Source organism: Homo sapiens, chromosome 12, assembly GCF_000001405.40.
Source record: "Homo sapiens chromosome 12, GRCh38.p14 Primary Assembly".
Lineage (NCBI taxonomy): Eukaryota > Metazoa > Chordata > Mammalia > Primates > Hominidae > Homo > Homo sapiens.
In genome coordinates this window covers 70296682-70318725 of record NC_000012.12, presented here as the reverse complement: position 1 = coordinate 70318725, position 22044 = coordinate 70296682, and the positions used below count along the sequence as shown (strand labels likewise).

The 22044-nt window shown below is 36.1% G+C and overlaps 1 protein-coding gene across 24 annotated transcripts in view; it reads right to left on the bottom strand.

The window, feature by feature from the left end:
* Nucleotides 1-22044, bottom strand: part of CNOT2 (CCR4-NOT transcription complex subunit 2) — a 111976-nt gene that overhangs the window by 36268 nt on the left and 53664 nt on the right. For 19 of the 24 annotated variants that reach the window (NR_037615.2, NM_001199302.2, XM_017019348.2 and 16 more), the window contains one exon: nucleotides 7709-7831. The exons of 1 other annotated variant lie outside the window; for it this stretch is intronic. Coding sequence is in view for 22 of the 23 variants with exons in the window: in NM_001199302.2 (NP_001186231.1) it covers nucleotides 7709-7831 (123 nt within the window). In the remaining variant the exon portion in view is untranslated. Of the gene's footprint in view, nucleotides 1-7708; nucleotides 11029-16860; nucleotides 17022-20846; nucleotides 20968-22044 lie in introns of all 24 variants that reach the window. 4 more of the 24 variants (XM_047428882.1, XM_047428884.1, NM_001414657.1 and 1 more) reach the window with 3 other exon arrangements.

Genomic DNA, 22044 nt, shown 5'->3' with positions numbered 1-22044 from the left:
TAATTAAATAAGACATGAGCCATGTCATCAAGGGGCTTACAATCTAGTGGGGAAAGAGAATGAATTATACAACTCATTATATTTTAAGGCACAGTGTGGTAAATGCTCTAAAGGAAACATGAAACATCACTGGAGCTACACAAAGGTATCAGGAATACTCTATAGAGTGGTAACATTTAGGTACATACAATGAAGGGGTCTTCCCTCAAGAATATGCAGTGAGTATAAGTGTAACAAAGGTTAGTAATGTAATCAGAAACCACCTGTACCCCCAAAACTATTGAAATTCAAAAAAATTGAACAAAAATTTAAAAATTGAACACAAAAACCCAGTATCCAGTTGTTAAAAAAAATAAAGATTTGTAATATTATTAGAGAACATAAACAGTGGTGATAGGATAACTATGAAAGGAGATAAAGTTCATCTCTATTTGGAGATAAAGCTCACCCATGTTATGGCATAGAAGAATGCGAAATAAATGTCATACAAGAATGGCTACCAACTATAGCAATAAAAAGAAAAATAATATTAAGCAAGAAGGTGGCAATCAAAATGGGTTTTGGGAAGATACCTCTAATAGCAGAAATGGGATATGCTGAGATACTAAACGACAACAGCAGAAGTGAGACTAAAAATAAGACGCATTCTGGTGGTAGAAGTAACAGTTATTTTATGTCCTGTTGACTAGCTGGGGTATAACGGGAAAAGGAGGTTAATGGAGACTCACAAAAGAGAGAACTATCAGAGGCTGATCTGTGGTTTCCAGGGATGAAAAATCATGCTGACACTGACCACAGTTAGAAAAACCAAGAAGTGAAACATGTATTTTTGTTTGTTTTTTTTTCTATTTTCTCACCCTGTCTTGTGGTGCTGAGGTAAAACATTTAAAGGGTAGAGGTTTTACAATATACATTTCATACTATTTTCATGTCAAAATTCTAAGTTGTTTCAATTATACTAAAGTTTGCAAAATTTTTTATACTATAGTTTTAGACCAATGGTACACATCAGTAACTCTTGAGGTAGGGCTGAGTTATACACCACTCTAAAGAAAACAGTAATATTAATACGACAGTAGTGATTTTTCTAAAAAAAAAAAAAAAAAAAAAAAAATCAAACCTTATAAATATTCCCTCCCAAATCCAGAGGTTGTGCAACCTAGATAATTAAACTAACATCCTTTATCTATACAATTAAACTATATATTCTTTCCCAATTATAACCCAACAGATCAAAAGATGCCTGATAAGTTCTTTTCTTAGGTATTATAGATTACTGTTACTGCATTAACTGAAAATATTTTGTAGGTATATTAAAAGTTCATTTCCAAATTGCAAGAACAAGAATATATAATAAAGCTTTAGTTGATCACAGAAGGTAAAAGGTTTATGGCACATGTATACCTATGTAACAAACCTGCACGTTGTGCGCACGTATCCTGGAACTTAAAAGTAAAATTAAAAAATAAAAAAGGAAGTTTTATCCTTTTTAGTAAGTTTTCTTTTATGATTATGTAGTGGCCTTCTTTATCCCAAATAATGCTTGATATCTTAAAATCTGGTTTTCCTAATAGTAATACAAATCAACCATCAAAAAAAGGAGGTAAAAGATTTATATAAAATTCTTAAGAATCATGATTTTCTGTCATTATAAGCTATAAATGAAAAAGTACAGTTGTTTCTAAAGGCTGCAAATATAAGATGCTGGCCAACATAAATGCATGACTTAGAACAATCCATAATGTGAATATTGTCAAACAAAACACTTAAAACATTTTTCATCAGATATTTATGTTTATTGAATAGTTAACTCCAGACAACACACATTTTAGTCTACTTTCTCACACTGATTATACATCCATGAGTTACAGATATGCCTGGGTATCTACCTGCCCTCTCAAAATGGGAGGAGGGAGTAAGTAGGGAGGGGAAGCAGAGCATGAAGGTAAAGAGGTGGTAGGTCCCTAGGCCAATTACTTGAGATCAAGAACCGTAGGCTGATTCACTTACCACAGTGTGTAATATTATATACAATTTTCTCTATGTGCCACTACATGAAGGTGGTTAGTAAACACAGCTTTACAGGAATAATAAAAGTAGTTTAATGTTAAATTTAAGAGTTTGTAACCTTCAACACATTCATGTAAAATAAGCATCGATCAGCTATACAGACATATCTTAAAATTACTGCCTCAAAATGTGTCAAAAATGCAAATATCTAATTTCTTATAAAGTCTATCCCTAAGAACCTGTACTTTTAAATTCTGAAGGCAATATTTCATCAAACAAATCGGTGCTAAAAATGGATTTAATACACAGTGAAGAAATGTGAATGTCACAGAAATGCTTTTTATGAGTATAGAAAATGCACAAGAAATATACTCTGACAGAACAGTAAGTACTATTAGCAGAAAACAAAATGTATATATTTTTTAAATTCTGAAAGTTAATAATATAAAGGTAAATTTCTTAGAAAAATATAAAACTTTAGATCAAGAAACACATTACAGTAGGGGATGCAGCACAAGTAAAAAGAGTCTAGTTTTGGAGTCAGAAATAATCTGGGTTTGAATCCTGGTTCTGCCACTTACCTATGGAACAACCAATACTTGGTTTCCTTCCTATAAAATGAAAATAACTACCTACCTCACAGAGCTGAAGTATAGGTTAAATGAAATAAGATATGGCATATAGTATGTGCTCAATAAATGGTAGCAGCAGCTGCTAATAATCTAATCTTCCCCTCAGTTGCAGAACTCTCATTAATAGGAGTGAGAGGGGGCATTCAGACTCTTGAGAAATGTATTAAATAATACCCTTAATTTATATAACTTTTTGCCCAAGGGGCTAAAGAAAGTTTATCTTCACAAATTCCAGGTAAAATAAGGCATAGAACTTGTGCTCTTAAGAGTGGCAAACGGTAGAAAAAGATTAATAGAATGCTGAAAACAACAAGTTACAGCACACTCTAAAATCATCATAATAATCAGGTCTTCCATATCTCTCAGAAATCTACAATGCACACTGCAGTCAAACAACAACAATAAAAACCAGGAAGCAACTAGAAGAAACAGTAATGTGATTCTGGTTATTCCCCTAACCCTTCACAGAACTTCTTTATCCTTTAATATACAGAATGTCAAAGAAATCCACAAATTGTTGCAAGGAAATACAACAAAATTTTGTTAAATAAAAATTCCATGACCATGACAGCAATTAAAAAATGATATTTAAGTTTTAAAATATTATTTTTAAAAGACTCTGTATAATATACTCAAAATTATGGTGATAATATAATTCCTAGCACTATGTTATTATTCCAGGACAAAAACCACAAATGAATTATGACTTTTTAACTGTACCATATCTACAAAGAGAAAAAGAGACAAAGAAAAAGGAAGAAAGCATATGCATGCACACACATAAGAGTTCCAGATCTAGACAGAAGCTAAAGAACCTTTAAAATTGGAAAACGGATAACTTAAAACATGAAACTAATGAAATCTAGCAAACAGGCACAAAAAAAGAAAACTATGAGAAGGTAATACATTAAAAAGAACAAGGCCAGGCACGGTGGCTCACACCTGTAATCCCAGCACTTTGGGAGGCTGAGGAGGGCAGATCCCCTGAGGTCAGGAGTTCGTGACCGGCCTGACCAACAAGGAGAAACCCCGTTTCTACTAAAAATACAAAAATTAGCCGGGCGTGGTGATGCATGCCTGTAATCCCAGCTACTCAGAAGGCTGAAGCAGGAGAATCACTTGAACCCAGGAGGCGGAGGTTGCTGTGAGCCAAGATCGTGCCATTACACTCCAGCCTGGGCAACAAGAGCGAAATTCTGTCTCAAAATATCCCCCAAAACAAACAAACAAACAAACAAACAAACAAGAACAAAAGAGAAAAGGGGCAAGGGAGGAGGCAGACAGTAAAATAAAATAGTCATTAAGTCACAGAACAGGGTAGCTTACAAATCAGGTAACTGATGATATGCATCTACTAGGTATTTCAAATAATTTTCATTAAAATATTCTTAAGCTTACATAAGGAACATTTGAAAAATAGTGTAATACTCAATGTACTTAATTCCTTAAACACTTGAGCCTCAAATTTTTTGTTAAAAACAAGTATGGCATTATATTATATTGTCTGAATGTCAGGTTACAGCTGAAGTACAAATTTACGGAAAGACATATGACTGACTCAAGGAATGTTTACATTTTAAAGGTTTTCAATATTCATTGCTAACCTATTTTCTACAGTCTGTCTTAATTACAGCAGTCACTTCAGTGCCCCCCTCACAAACACTAACTATTCTCCCACTTAAAAAAAAAAAATCCTTCATGAGCTAGGTACTATTGTTCCTATTTTACAGATGAGAAAACTGAGACACACAGAGACTGATGTCCTAAGACACACAGCTAGCAAATCAGGTAGCTGACATAAAAACTTACATAGTAGGATTTCCAGGGCTTACATTCTCAATCACCAAAAACTAATAGAAGACTTTTACATGGCAGTTTGTTATAAAATAACTACACAAAGTATTCCATAGGTCAGTAAAAACCAATCTGAAAAATGCAATGAAAATGGCAACTGCAAAACCCTATTAAAACGCATAAAGAACAAGATTAAAGGGAGAAATATCCTTCCGAAAAACCATCTATATTGATATTAATGTGCAACAATCAAAAACCATTTTTTTAAAACAAAGGATGTCAAAGATTCTTACCCAAGATGTTAAAGTGGTCTACAAAGCTATGGCAATTCAATTATGTTGTAGTTCTGACACAGGATCAGTATGGTAAACAGAACAAGATCTTAGAAACAGGCCCAAGAATGTATGAGACACTAGCACATATAATAAAGGGATATTTTAATTAGCCATAAATTAATGATCTAACCCAGGGGTGGGCAAATTATTTCCTGCAGGACAAATCCAGCACACTGCCTGTTTTTGTAAGATACATGAACTAAGAAAGTTTTTACATTACAGATGGTTATATAAAGGCCTATTATACAAAATAGGTTTTGATTTTATATATATCCTTGATTTTGCTTCTTGGTCCACAAAGCCTAAAATAGTTACTATCTGGTTCTTTAAGGGAAAGTTTTCTGACCCGTGATTTAAAGCATAAATGGTGTCGGTGCAATTGGATAAGCTTGTAGAAAAAAAAAGTATTTGGAACCCTACAATTCACAGGTTAAACCAAAACACATTTCTAATGGACATAAATTATATGTGAAGAACAAAACATAAAAGTATTATAAGAAAGTAATTGGGAAATGTCTTCCTAAGTATGATCTCGAAAACAGAAGCCATTTAAAAATAAGACTGATGGATCACATTTAATTAAAATGACAAATATACGTATACTACATATACCAAGAATTAAAGGTGAAAAACTGGGAAAATATTTGTAATGAATGACAAGAGGTTGTTATCCTCAATACATGGAGAATGCAAACTAGTAAGACTTAAGATCTCAATAGAGAAATAGAAAATGACACAAAAAAGGTACACAAAGGAAGAAATACAAATGACCAATAACTATATGGAAAAGACCCATCACACTGTGTGTGTGTAAAATTAATGATGTTTTACTGTATGTACATGAAAACAATAAGCTTGTCTATTAGCAAAGACTTAAATGTAATTGCTGGTATTCTTGTTGGCATGGAGAGTGGTGATTACAGTAAAAACTGGTACAAACTTTTTGATGGAAAATATGTCTGTATGACCTAGAAGATTTAAATAATTGTGTATTTTTCAATAAAAATATTTAAAGCATAAAATTAGAATTTTAGCAATTATTTCTGATAGCATTATAGGTAATTTTTCTTCAAGTGTATTTTTAAAAATTTGTATAATTTACCTGTGCTATTTTGTAATTTTAAAAAAGTAACAGCAACAGCAGCCAATGTATAAGGTAGCCAATATATTATTACTCCTATTTTTACAGAAAAGGAAACTGAGACTTGGAGAAGTTCTTGCTAACAGGCAAAGTCAGGATCCAAACACACATATTTGTATTGCTTTAGAGTCCAAGTTCTTAATTCCTATGCCATACTATGTTCTTAATTAATGTTTTTTTAAAAAAGGTTTTGTGAATCAAACCATTCTGTTACTTCTGTGCCAACCAGCTGGATCAGAATGGTGGCCAACATTTGTGAGTATGTGTGTAAGTATATATACTAATTCTGATTTTAAAATGTAGACATATAGTATTTCTGCTTTTGAGAAGACATATATCTCTTTGTCATTCATTCTCTTTATATACTTTTAGATTTCAGTCTGAAAGCTTCCTATCTTCCTAATTAGAATAAATGCATTTCATCAGTAATAAATATTTCATTAACATTTTCCAAGCAAACTTAACTTTCATTATATAATCACAGCAATACACACAAATTGTAGGTTTTCGTTTCTGCGGCGATACTACCAAAAATATATCCCAAATTCTTTATTTACAAGGTCAATACTTAAATAGAAACCTGTGTAAATAATAATTCAATTATAAGTTACATAGCACATAGCTAAAAGCGCAATAAGATAACAGAAAATTAGATGACATTATTCCATAAGCTATTAAACTACACACTAATTATCAACAAAGCCACAACACACATTAGTTGAAAAAAGCCCAATAATGCCATTGATAGTTTGTTTTCAAAATGACACAAGAATGTTCAAATCAAAATAAAAAAGGAAAATACAAAAACAGAATAACAAACATCCTAACATAAACCTAGTAGGTTAAGCTGATTTGCAAAATTCTGCAAAGTCAAAGGAAGTGATTTACTAATGATCAACTTCAAAGAAAAACAAGGGCATTTGTTCCATATCTTAGAACTTTATAAATGCTTCAAACATCAGTATAAATCTCATTAGGTTAATAGCTAGAGTAGATTGTTTTATACATAAGGAGATTTGGCATAGCAAGTTTATAAAGTGTGAAAGGTAAAAAAAGCTGGGCAGGTGTACAAAGTATAAGAATGCAACTGGTGTGACTAGAGAGTACATTGTATAATTTAAAGTAGCTTAACAGAATTTTAGTAATTACATTCATTTTTAAGTATTTTATAAATTTGCTAATTATGACTTGGTTGCATTCTAAATCCTTTTATCCCAAATGGGATTATTGAACTATTAGCCTTCCAAAGCATTTAATTCATATCTCTATATCATCCATCACATTTTGAATACAGTTCTTCCAAATTTTTCCTATTATAGTATCCCTATGGCTGAACAGAGGAGAGATACACCTGAGGTCCAGAATTACAGCTAGATGACACAATAAGCATAAAGTTTTATTACAGCTTGCCATTATATCTTCAAGTCTGCGTAAATCTGCTTTCTGTTCTATATCTGCATTTGTTTTAATATCAAACAAGTTATTTCCCATATTGAACAAACAAAAAAAATCAGTGATCTAGAAGTTATACCATGTTTACTCCATGTCTTTGAGTACTTCTATCACAGTATTACCATATCCCAATTTGAGAATCATGGGATATTTATTTTCCCCATTAGAATACAAATTCATTGTCTTTGTATCCCAAAAGGATACAAGCACCAAAGGGACTAGCACTGTGCTGAAAAGATTGTCACTCAACCACAGACAGTATTCTGCACTTGATATGCTGTTTTTCAGGAACCCAGACACAGACTTACATTGCTGAAAAAATACAACATAATTGATTAACTTACATCTTTTTCTGACCGATGTGGAAACATAGAAGACTGGCTGTAGTACATGTTTTCGTCATGGTAGTCACTGTCGACCCCCTCTACAAACTTCTTTCTTGAAGCACCAAACATGCTGTTTGTCACCTAAACAAAAATATTACTTTTATCAGGGGTAATACTTTGGAAAATGTTCAGTGTTACCTTACTCCTATGTGGAAAACAGAACATGAAGGGAGCATTGCTAAGATACAGAAATTGATCAACTAATGGCTAGTGGCGCATGTGATAAAGTCATAAATCTGATTATAACAATAAAGTGTTAGATGTTTATTTCCAGACCCTAAAAGTAGGAGAATCACATAAAGCCTATCTTAACAATTCCATTTCCTTTTAAAAAACTAAGTATACCTTACTCTTCAAAAATGGCCAATATCATTTTCCCATACATAGATTTTTTAAAAATTAAGTTTAGGTTTAATTATTCAAAATCTTCACATGCATCTTCCACATTTGTGTATCTGTCATCACCTTATTTTCTCAGTTATCTGTTTTCCCAAGCATTCATCTTTCCTTACAATCTAAGTTTACTGAAATATACCGTTTTTTGAATCAGTGCATATATAGTGGCATACTAGAATTTTATCTCAAGCAAGTACCCACTCATGTAACTGAAGTACAATCTTTCATTGATCATACTGGTATAAAGTTATTATTTCAATGATATAACCTGCTTATTCATTTGTTTTTCCAGTCTTTGTAACATCCAACATTAGCAATTTTGAGCTCACACCAACATAAATTGTTGTCACTTGCTATCTGTGAAGAAATGGTTCTAGGACCTCTCCCCTCATGGATTAAAAAATAAAATCCACGGATGCTCAATTCTCTCACATAAAATGGTTTATAATATTTGCATATAACCTACACACATCCTTTCATATACTTTAAATCATCTCTAGATTACTTATAATATCTAATACAATGTAAATGCTATATAAATAGTCACTGTATTGCTCAGGGAATAATTACAAGAAAAAACAGTCTGTACATGTTCAGTACAGACACAACCATCCATTATTTTTCCCCAAATATTTTCAATCTGCAGCTGGTTGACCCACAGATGCAGAACCCATGGGTATGAAGGGCCAACTGTAATTATTAAAATCTGTGCTAATTTTAATTTTTAATTATTTTTAAAATGTGACCTCTATAAAATTATCAAAACTATTAACTGACTAAAGTTATTTAAGGTCAATGTGTCTTTCTCCTAACAGTACTTTGAAAATCAAGGTAAACCAATGTCAATGAGAAAAGAGATTTTAAAGACTTGAATACAAGGTGACTATGTCTTTTCACAAGTACATTTTTGGGGAAAACTCATCTCAAATTTGATATCTGTCTTGTACATTCATTATGACTAAGAATATTTCCTTCCATTATAAATGAGTGAACAATTTCCATGTCTCATTTCAAAAAATGCTGTAGTCACTATTACATATCAGTAGACGTGGTGAACTATGTTGCAGACTTTGAAGGCCAAACTTTACGTGTAACTCTGTTGAAAGCACCCATGCTGTTTAATATTTCTTATATATTTTAAGTTCCCTGTTAAATATGTAGGAAACTTAATTATTTGACTGTCTTTCCTCCTGAGGTCTGAAAACCTATTCAGTCAGGTATAAATAAAGTCTAAGGACAGCTAACCTATTACTTTGCTATATGCTTTTAGGCAAGTAATCGCTTGAGGTGTGAAATATACAAAGATATTTTTTAAGGGTCTAACAATTTATTAGAACACAGGTACTTAATCTTTTTTTGGGAAACAGACTCCTGGTGAATCTCAGAATGCTATTCTGTAACTCTGTTATTTCAGACCAGGATCCCGCATGCCTATCCACCAGCTCCCTAAGTAGTCCCTACTAGGGGGAAAACAGATGTTTCTTAGTGAGTAATTTCAAAAAGGAAACAGTGGCAAAAAATCACTTTAGAGCTTGCAAATTAAGATTCACTACACATAAGATTTTAGAAGTTTGTTTTTTGAAAGTTAAAGATACATTTAATTATCTTTATAGAACTCTTACTATTGAGCTCTAATTCTAAGAAAGAATAAACATGGAAAATGCATAATTCAATAATTATTCAATAAAGTTTCAGGTGAATATCAAGGCATCTCTCATCAAATTTTATACACATAAATAAGCTCAAATTGATAAACTCTTCTTTTGACACTGTTTGTATAACACTTATCATCAAGACCATTATAGACTCCTAGAATTCTAAAATTGAAATTAATTGTATAGAATTAAAATTTTTATGCTTAATATCTTGCAAAAAGGTTTGGTTTGAAGGCAAAATTAAACATATGTTCCAGACGAAAGAAAATGAAGAAATGTTCCTTTTCCATCAATACCAGATTTTCTCAAGAGTCACTGTGTGTGTGTGTGTGTGTGTGTGAGAGAGAGAGAGAGAGAGAGAGAGAGAGAAAATATACCAAACTTAAGCTTAATTTCTGTTTTGTGTGCTCTGGCACAGAAATTACACATCAGTGACAATACTAATTATTCTTACATGACTTCAGCAAATAATTAAAAAACAAAACGAGAGTGAGACAGAGAGAAAGACAGATGGAGGGAGGGAGAGGTAAGGGTGTTTTACTCTCCCCCATGAATGCAAACCCCCATCCAGAGATGGGTGCTGGTATGAGACAATTCTAATCCATGGCAAAATCACAAGAGAAAAAGACAACACAGGTTTTTCATAAAGCTAGATTTATTTAATTTTAAAGTGCCCGTCCTTTATTCTACATAGAATGATGGAACAGGGTAGGAAGTATTTAAAAATAATCAGGGAACATAAAACTGAGATGAAAACAAGCAGAGAAGTAACTGACCAGGCAAATGCTTGAAGGAAAAGCAGTCAGTTCAGAGGGTCAGTAAACCCCTCACTGGTATGGCTCAGGCAGCATGAACTTAGGTGGTGAAGGGTAGGAACTCATGTCAGAGAGACTGGTTGGGGCTAGACCATATAGTACACCTCGAGAGCCTGAGAGACTTTGGATTTTATTCTTTGTTAGACGGGAAATCAAGAGAGGATTTAGGCGAAGCTTAAGAGTAACTTAATTTGGCTTTTTTTTTTTTTTAAAGGTCCTAGCTACTCCATGAGGAATGGGCTAAAGAGGGTATAAAACGAAAGCAGGAAAATGCATTAGGAGGCCAGTGATAGATAATGATGGCCTAATAGGGTGGTGAGTAGTAGTTGAATAAAGGATATACTCTGAGGCAGAACTAGTAGGAATGGATGGATGGATGATATGAAAGGGTTAAACTATACCCATCTTCTCCCTGAAAGAGAAATTAGGGTACATAAAAATCAATTTCTATAAATTTCAAAGAGGATATGTCAATTATATCGAAATACATTGAAATTACTGGTTACAACGTATGTTAAAAAGTTAATTTGGTAAATAAAAATTTTAATAAACGACAGTCATGTGCAGCATGACATTTCAGTCAATGATGGACCATATATACAACGGTGGTCCCGTAAGATTATAAACAAGCTGAAAAATTCCTATTGCCTAGTGATGCCTTGATAGACCTAAGCAAATACATGAGTGTGTGTATCAGTTTTCAACAAAACAAAAACATCTAAAAAGTAAAAAAACAAAAAAATTCAAATAGAAAAAAGCTAAGTATGAATATAAGGGAAGAAAATATTTTTGTACAGCTGTACGTGTTTAAGTCAAGTATTAAAGAGTCCAAAAGATTTTAAAAAATTAAAAAGGTTATAAAGTAAAAAAGTTACGGTAAGCTAAGGTTAACTCATTATTCGAGAATGAAAATTTTTAAATAAATTTAGTGTAGCCTAAGTGTACAGTGTTTCCAATGTCCACAGTAGTATACTGTAATGTCCTAAGCCTTTACATTCACACACCACTTACTGAATTACCCAGAACAACTTCCAGTTCTGCAAGCTCCGTTTATGATAAGTGCCCTATAAAGGTGTAACCTTTTTAAAAAAATGTTTTGTATCTTATTTTCACTGTACCCTTTCTGTGTTTAGGTATGTTTAAATACACAAATACCAATGTGTTACAACTGCCTACAGAATTCGTATAGCAATATGCTGTACATGTTTATAGCCTAGGAGCAAGAGGTTATATCATCCAGGTTTGTTTAAGTATGGTCCACATTCACAAAAGTGCCTGACGCATTTCTCAGAATGTACTCCCATTGTTATGGCTGTAGTTTAAACTATGGCTGTAGTTTAAAATTAAATCAGACTTCATCTTGGATATACAGCATTAGAATCTTTGGTGTGTACAATTTGTCAGCTTTATTCAAGCAAACAAGTCAAGGGCTTATATATACTTTGTTAAGTGACCACCTTTTTACTTGACACTCACACCAGACTTTCTAAGACAAATTGAGATTTTTTTTTACCAGGAAAGAATATATGCATGTAGCAAAACCAATGTTTCTTAAACCTTTTTTGAACACAGATCTAAAACGTTTAATCAAGACATTTAATCTTTCCTTTGATTTCATAAGAACTAAGCAGCATATTCTAAAAAGTAAACAGAGGTCAGGAATGGTGGCTCATGCCTACAATGCCAGCACTTTGGGAGGCCAAGGCAGGCAGATCACTTGAGGTCAGGAGTTCAAGACCAGCCTGGCCAACAACGTGAAACCCTGTCTCTACTAAAAATACAAAAAATTAGCCAGGCATGGTGGCATGCACCTGTAATCCCAGCTACTCAGGAGGCTGAGGTGGGAGAACTGCTTGAACCCAGGAGGTGGAGGTTGCAGTGAGCCAAGATCATCATGCCACTGCACTCTAGCCTGGCCGACACCACGAGACTACGTCTTAAAATAAAATAAAATTAAATTAAAAATACAGAGATAAGTAAGCTAATCCTCTGTACCAAACCAAATCCCCAAAAGGAATTGGTCTCAGAAAGTAATAAAGAATTAAACTGGAAGACGTAATGGAGCCACTTAAGTTGGCTGGATTTTCCCAGTATATTCCTCCTTCATTATTTAGTTTAGACTAGCTATGAATTCCTAAGGCATGACATTCTCAACATTTAAATACAGTATTTCAAAGCCAAATGTGGTAAATCAGAATAATCACAGAAATTTACCAAAAAAAAAAAAAAAAAAAAACAAACTTCAGATAAAATAACCAAGAACTTCAGAGAAGACGGGTAAAGTGGTCCCTGATACAGGCAGGATGAATGGCAATTAGGGAACCAACGAAGTAAGAGGCAGGCCTGAAGATACACAGAGGATACACCTAAAAATCCCTGAGATCATCACCTCAACATGACTTTGCAGCACTAACTATCTTAGAACCCAACACAAATCTTATGTTTCAGCTTAATTTTGGCTATTCACAGTTGTTACTGTTCATGGTAATCTCTGAAAAATGTCACTTTAACTCTCAAAAATGCTGTCTGTAACCTTTGTGATCTTCAACAATTAAAATTCAAGCTGATCAAACCAACCCTATATATTTATTGAAATTATTTATATCATCAATATCTTTTCATCTCTACGGTCATTTCCTAGCTGATATGGTTTGGCTCTGTGTCTGAACCCAAATATCACCTTGAACTGTAATAATCCCCACGTGTCGCAGAAGGAACCCCGTGGGAGGTGACTGAATCATGAAGGCGGGTATTTCCTGTGCTGTTCTCATGATTGTGAATAAGTCTCATGAGGGTGGAGCCAAGATGGCCGAATAGGAACAGCTCCAGTCTATAGCTCCCAGCATGAGTGTCGCAGAAGATGGGTGATTTCTGCATTTCCAACTGAGGTACCGGGTTCATCTCACTGGGCAGTGCCGGACAGTGGGTGCGGGACAGTGGGTGCGGCGCACCATGCGTGAGCCGAAACAGGGCGGGGCATCGCCTCACCCGGGAAGCCCAAGGGGTCAGGGAATTCCCTTTCCTAGTCAAAGAAAGGGGTGACGAATGGCACCTGGAAAATCGGGTCACTCCCACCCTAATACTGCACTTTTCCAACAGGTTTAACAAAAGGCACACCAGATTATATCCCGCACCTGGCTCAGAGGGTCCTACGCCCACGGAGCCCGGCTCATTGCTAGCACAGCAGTCTGAGATCAAACTGCAAGGCAGCAGCCAGGCTGGGGGAGGGGTGCCCGCCATTGCCAAGGCTTGAGTAGGTAAACAAAGCAGCCAGGAAGCTCGAACTGGGTGGAGCCCACCACAGCTCAAGGAGGCCTGCCTGCCTCTGTAGGCTCCACCTCTGGGGGCAGGGCACAGACAAACAAAAGGCAGCAGTAACCTCTGCAGACTTAAATGTCCCTGTCTGACTGCTATGAAGAGAGTAGTGGTTCTACCAGCACACAGCTTGAGATGTGAGAACGGGCAGACTGCCTCCACAAGTGGGTCCCTGACCCCCCAGTAGGGGCGGACTGACACCCCACACGGCCAGATACTCCTGAGACAAAACTTCCAGAGGAATGATCAGGCAGCAGCATTTGTGGTTCACCAATATCTGCTCTTCTGCAGCCACCGCTGCTGATACCCAGGCAAACAGGGTCTGGAGTGGACCTCCAGCAAACTCCAACAGACCTGCAGCTGAGGGTCCTGGCTGTTAGAAGGAAAACTAACAAACAGAAAGGACATCCACACCAAAAACCCACCTGTACGTCACCATCATCAAAGACCAAAGGTAGATAAAACCACAAAGATGGGGAAAAAACAGAGCAGAAAAACTGGAAACTCTAAAAAGCAGAGCGCCTCTCCTCCTCCAAAGGAATGTAGCTCCTCACCAGCAACGGAACAAAGCTGGACCGAGAATGACTTTGATGAGTTGAGACAAGAAGGCTTCAGAAGATCAAACTACTCCGAACTAAGGAGGAAGTTCGAACCAATGGCAAAGAAGTTAAAAACCTTGAAAAAAAATTAGACGAATGGATAACTAGAATAACCAATGCAGAGAAGTCCTTAAAGGACCTGATGGAGCTGAAAACCACGGCACGAGAACGTGACGAATGCACAAGCCTCAGTAGCCAATGAGATCAGCTGGAAGAAAGGGTATCAGCGATGGAAGACGAAATGAATGAAATGCAGCGAGAAGTTTAGAGAAAAAAGAATAAAAAGAAATAAACAAAGTCTCCAAGAAATATGGGACTATGTGAAAAGACCAAATCTACTTGGTGTACCTGAAAGTGACGGGGAGAATGGAACCAAGTTGGAAAACACTCTGGAGGATATTATCCAGGAGAACTTCCCCAGTCTGGCAAGGCAGGCCAACATTCACATTCAGGAAATAGAGAGGACTCCACAAAGATACTCCTCGAGAAGAGCAACGCCAAGACACATAATTGTCAGATTCACCAAAGTTGAAATGAAGGAAAAAATGTTAAGGGCATCCAGAGAGAAAGGTCGGGTTACCCACAAAGGGAAGCCCATCGGACTAAAAGCTGATCTCTCGGCAGAAACTCTACAAGCCAGAAGAGAGTGGGGACCAATATTCAACATTCTTAAAGAAAAGAATTTTCAACCCAGAATTTCATATCCAGCCAAACTAAGCTTCGTAAGTGAAGGAGAAATAAAATACTTTACAGACAAGCAAATGCTGAGACATTTTGTCACCACCAGGCCTGCCCTAAAATAGCTCATGAAGGAAGCACTAAACACGGAAAGGAACAACCGGTACCAGCCACTGCAAAAACATGCCAAATTGTAAAGACCATCAAGGCTAGGAAGAAACTGCATCAACTAACGAGCAAAATCACCAGCTAACATCATAATGACAGGATCAAATTCACACATAACAATACTAACCTTAAATGTGAACGGGCTATATGCTCCAATTAAAAGGCACAGACTGGCAAATTGGATAAAGAGTCAAGACCCATCAGTGTGCTGTATTCAGGAAACCCATCTCATGTGCAGAGACACACATAGGCTCAAAATAAAGGGATGGAGGAAGATCTACCAAGCAAATGGAAAACAAAAAAAGGCAGGGGTTGCAATCCTAGTCTCTGATAAAACAGACTTTAAACCAACAAAGATCAAAAGAGACAAAGAAGGCCATTACACAATGGTAAAGGGATCAATTCAACAAGAAGAACTAACTATCCTAAATATATATACACCCAATACAGGAGCACCCAAATTCATAAAGCAAGTCCTTAGTGACCTACAAAGAGACTTAGACTCCCACACAATAATAATGGGAGACTTTAACACCCCACTGTCAACATTAGACAGATCAACGAGACAGAAAGTTAACAAGGATATCCAGGAATTGAACTCAGCTCTGCACCAAGTGGACCTAATAGACATCTACAGAACTCTCCACCCCAAATCAACAGAATATACATTCTTTTCAGCACCACACCACACCTATTCCAAAGTTGACCACATAGTTGGAAGTAAAGCACTCCTCAGCAAATGTAAAAGATCAGAAATTATAACAAACTGTCTCTCAGACCACAGTGCAATCAAACTAGAACTCGGGATTAAGAAACTCACTCAAAACCTCTCAACTACATGGAAACTGAACAACCTGCTCCTGAATGACTACTGGGTACATAACGAAATGAAGGCAGAAATAAAGATGTTCTTTGAAACCAACGAGAACAAAGACACAACATACCAGAATCTCTGGGACACATTCAAAGCAGTGTGTAGAGGGAAATTTATAGCACTAAATGCCCACAAGAGAAAGCAGGAAAGATCTAAAATTGACACCCTAACATCACAATTAAAAGAACTAGAGAAGCAAGAGCAAACACATTCAAAAGCTAGCAGAAGGCAAGAAATAACTAAAATCAGAGCAGAACTGAAGGAAATAGAGACACAAAAAACCCTTCAAAAAAATTAATGAATCCAGGAGCTGGTTTTTTGAAAGGATCAACAAAATTGATAGACCGCTAGCAAGATTAATAAAGAAGAGAGAAGAATCAAATAGATGCAATAAAAAATGCCAAAGGGGATATCACCACTGATCCCACAGAAATACATACCACCATCAGAGAATACTATAAACACCTCTACACAAATAAACTAGAAAATCTAGAGGAAATGGATAAATTCCTTGACACATACACCCTCCCAAGACTAAACCAGGAAGAAATTGAATCTCTGAATAGACCAATAACAGGCTCTGAAATGGAGGCAATAATTAATAGCTTACCAACCAAAAAAATCCAGGACCAGATGGATTCACAGCCGAATTCTACCAGAGGTACAAGGAGGAGCTGGTACCATTCCTTCTGAAACTATTCCAATAAATAGAAAAAGAGGGAATCCTCCCTAATTCATTTTATGAGGCCAGCATCATCCTGATACCAAAGCCTGGCAGAGACACAACAAAAAAAGAATTTTAGACCAATATCCTTGATAAACATTGATGCAAAAATCCTCAATAAAATACAGGCAAACCGAATCCAGCAGCACATCAAAAAGCTTATCCACCATGATCAAGTGGGCTTCATCCCTGGGATGCAAGGCTGGTTCAACATAAGAAAATCAATAAACGTAGTCCAGCATATAAACAGAACCAAAGAAAAAAAACGGCATGATTATCTCAATAGATGCAGAAAAGGCCTTTGACAAAATTCAACAGCTCTTCATGCTAAAAACTCTCAATAAATTAGGTATTGATGGGACATATCTCAAAATAATAAGAGCTATCTATGACAAACCCACAGCCAGTATCACAGTGAATGTACAAAAACTGGAAGCATTCCCTTTGAAAACTGGCACAAGAGAAGGATGCCCTCTCTCACCACTCCTATTCAACACAGTGTTGGAAGTTCTGGCCAGGGCAATCAGGCAGGAGAAGGAAATAAAGGGCATTCAATTAGGAAAAGAGGAAGTCAAATTGACCCTGTTTGCAGGTGACATGACTGTATATCTAGAAAACTCCAGCATCTCAGCCCAAAATCTCCTTAAGCTGATAATCAACTTCAGCAAAGTCTCGGGATACAAGATCAATGTGCAAAAATCACAAGCATTCTTATACACCAATAACAGACAAACAGAGAGCCAAATCATGAAAGAACTCCCATTCACAATTGCTTCAAAGAGAATAAAATACCTAGGAATCCAACTTACAAGGGATGTGAAGGACCTCTTCAAGGAGAACTACAAACCACTGCTCAATGAAATAAAAGAGGATACAAACAAATGGAAGAACATTCCATGCTCATACGTAGGAAGAATCAATATCGTGAAAATGGCCATACTGCCCAAGGTAATTTATAGATTCAATGCCATCCCCATCAAGCTACCAACGACTTTCTTCACAGAATTGGAAAAAACTACTTTAAAGTTCATATGGCACCAAAAAAGGGCCCTCATTGCCAAGTCAATCCTAAGCCAAAAGAACAAAGCTGGAGGCATCACGCTACCTGACTTCAAACTATACTACAAGGCTACAGTAACCAAAACAGCATGGTACTGGTATCAAAACAGAGATACAGACCAATGGAACAGAACAGAGCCCTCAGAAATAACGCCACATATCTACAACCATCTGATCTTTGACAAACCTGACAAAAACAAGCAATGGGGAAAGGATTGCCTATTTAATAAATGGTGCTGGGAAAACTGGCTAGCCATATGTAGAAAGCTGAAACTGGATCACTTCCTTACACCTTATACAAAAATTAATTCAAGATAGATTAAAGACTTAAATGTTAGACCTAAAACCATAAAAACTCTAGAAGAAAACCTAGGCAATACCATTCAGGACATAGGCATGGGCAAGGACTTCATGTCTAAAACACCAAAAGCAATGGCAACAAAAGCCAAAATTGACAAATGGGATCTAATTAAACTAAAGAGCTTCTGCACAGCAAAAGAAACGACCATCAGAGTGAACAGGCTTCTACAGAATGGGAGAAAATTTCTGCAATCTACTCATCTGACAAAGGGCTAATATCCAGAATCTACAATGAACTCCAACAAATTTACAAGAAAAAACAACCCCATCAAAAAGTGGGCAAAGGACATGAACAGACACTTCTCAAAAGAAGACATTTATGCAGCCAAAAAAACACATGAAAAAATGCTCATCATCACTGGCCATTAGAGAAATGCAAATCAAAACCACAATGAGATACCATCTCACAACAGTTAGAATGGCAATCATTAAAAAGTCAGGAAACAACAGGTGCTAGAGAGGATGTGGAGAAATAGGAACACTTTTACACTGCTGGTGGGACTGTAAACTAGTTCAACCATTGTGGAAGTCAGTGTGGCGATTCCTCAGGGATCTAGAACTAGAAATACCATTTGACCCAGCCATCCCATTACTGGGTATATACCCAAAGGATTATAAATCATGCTACTATAAAGACACATGCACACTTATGTTTACTGCAGCACTATTCACAATAGCAAAGACTTGGAACCAACCGAAAGGTCCAACAATGATAGACTGGATTAAGAAAATGTGGCACATATACACCATGGAATACTATGCAGTCATAAAAAAGGATGAGTTCATGTCCTTTGTAGGGACGTGGATGAAGCTGGAAACCATTATTCTCAGCAAACTATCGCAAGGACAAAAAACCAAACACCGCATGTTCTCACTCATAGGTGGGAATTGAACAATGAGAACACATGGACACAGGAAGGGGAACATCACACACCGGGGACTGTTGGGGGGTGGGGGGAGGGGGGAGGGACAGCATTAGCAGCTATACCTAATGCTAAATGACAAGTTAATGGGTGCAGCACACCAACATGGCCCATGTATACATATGTAACAAACCTGCACGTTGTGCACATGTACCTTAAAACTTAAAGTATAATAATAATAAAATTAAAAAAAAAATAAGTCTCATGAGATCTGGTGGTTTATACAGGGGGGTTCCCCTGCACACATTCACTCTTGCCTGCCGCCATGTGAGACGTGACTGCTCCTCATTTGCCTTCTGCCACGATTGTGAGACCTCCCCAGCCATGTGAGTCAATTAAACCTCTTTCCCTTATAAACTACCCAGTCTCGGGTACGTCTTTGTTAGCATGAGAACGGACTAATAATACACTAGAACAAGCCACTCCAATAGCCTCCAAACAGGTCTTTATTAATCTATTCTTCTTCCCCTCAATTCTACTCTCCCACATCAAAGTGATTTTTTAAAGTAAAAATTATTTATCTTCATGGACTTTCTGATAAAAATTCCTCAACAGCACTCCCAAATCAATAAGGCTTATAAGATGTTTTGTAACCTCTAACTTCTCTCCTAAGTCCCCTGACACCACCAAACCCTTGCCATACCTTCAGTTACTCAGAACAGAAGTTAGTTTCCATGTCCCGGTCTTTGCATATGCTGATACGGCTACTTAAAATGCCCTTTCTCCCATTCTTTGAAACTTTCACACTAAATTAGGACTCTTGTTTTATACAGTCTCTGAAAACACTTTATCATAACTATAAAATAATAATAAATTATTGTGCCAGGGAATATTCTAAATGCTTTAAAATTTATTTATGTAATTATCAAGATAACGCTAGAAAGTAAGAACAATTAACTATCCCTATTTTGTAGCTAAGGACCAGAGAAGTTAGGTTAACTTCCTAAGGTTATATATCTGATAAATGCGGAGATGGGTTTTGAACCCAGACCAATTTGCTGGAGTCCCCCTTTTTAACCATGATAGTACACTGACTCTCAAATATACAACTAACAATTTAATGTGTGTTTTGTTCTTGAATTTGTAAAGGGAAAAGCAGTAAGGAGCAAATAAAAAGCCGATTGGAGGAGGAAGGTCCTTATATTGTGAACAATGGTAAGTAGGGTATACCACAATCGAATATTTATGTGTGTCAAAAAGATCACTTTAGCACAAGAACAAGAATGGACTGATTATGACTGATTATAGACATGTGAGACAAAAGCCAGTCTCTACAAGACTAATCACATGTATTTTACAGAAAGTTGCATTAATTTGAAAATGAAGTTATGCTTAAAAGAAATACTATTATACCAATTAAAAATTATTATCCACCAGGTGCAGTGGTTCACGCCTGTAATCCCACTCAACTCCCAGAGGTTGAGGTGGGTGGATCACCTGAGGTCAGGAATTCAAGAGCAGCCTGGCCAACATGGCGAAACCCCATCTCTACTAAAAATACAAAAATTAGTTGGGCGTGGTGGTACGCACCTGTAGTCCCAGCTACTTGGAGGCCGAGGCAGGAGAATCACTTGAACTTGGGAGGCGGAGGTTGCAGTGAGCCAAGATGACGCCACTGCAGTCCAGCCTGGGTGACAGAGTGAGACCACGTCTCAAAAATGAAAACAAAAAAAAATTATTATCCAAGGAGGGCTTCAGATAAGTAGAAATAACTACTAAAAGCTATATATACCTGGTTTCCATGTTCCCAAAGAACTAACATTTTTAGGTACTTAAGTATAGTGAACACAATTTAACCTTTCAAGGAATTAGGATAATTATAACCAAACTCTTAATTTCATTATAATAGCTCTAATGTAGACATTATAGCATTACATATGTAGGGCACATCTAGAACTTGTGTTAAAACAAAAACAATTCCCTAGTAGCAACTTTTTATTGTAGATTCTCTAATGTAGGGAGGAGTTTTACTGCTAACATGTTGGTACAGGTGTCACACGATAAAATCAATTGTCTCATTCACTGCTTCATACTGAGTAACAAATTTTCACTCCCAGCTACAGAGTTTGTAGTCTGCTTGCATTATACAAGATGAAGACTGCTAACTGCAAGATATACAGTACCTGAGAAGGGGGAAAAAGTGTTTCTCAGGCACTGTTTTCCTAATGGAGATCTGAGTAATTTAGAATTTGAGTTCTTATTTTCTCTCTGAATTCCATATTCAATATCAACAAACAATATACAAATATGCACAAGTTCTTGGCTATAAAATAGGCAGAAACTTAATATAAAATCACAGCCAACTGCCATTAACACTTATCTGCCTTTTATCAAGGTGTAGCCAATTAACATCTGAAACCAATGATGAGGAGTCCTAATACCTGAAGATAATCTAGCGTTTTTATAATTGCCCTTTAGAGGGAAAACATGATAGGTAAAAATCTCACAGACTGCCCAAATTCTATGGAAGTAGAATATTCGTATATCAAATATTATATTGTTACAACCTGGAAATATTTGTTAACAAAGATATTTTTGTTTCAGTAGTATTTTTTGTGATAGGATTTTAAACTGCTTATCCTGCTTCGCAACTACTATAAATAATTCTAATTTTATTTAATTCTTGAAAAACAATTTAAAAAGGGGGGGGGGCTTAAATAAAGGACAGAAAGGCACCTACACTGCACAAAAAAATTCTAGCTTCTTAAAGAACAAAGATATTAATACC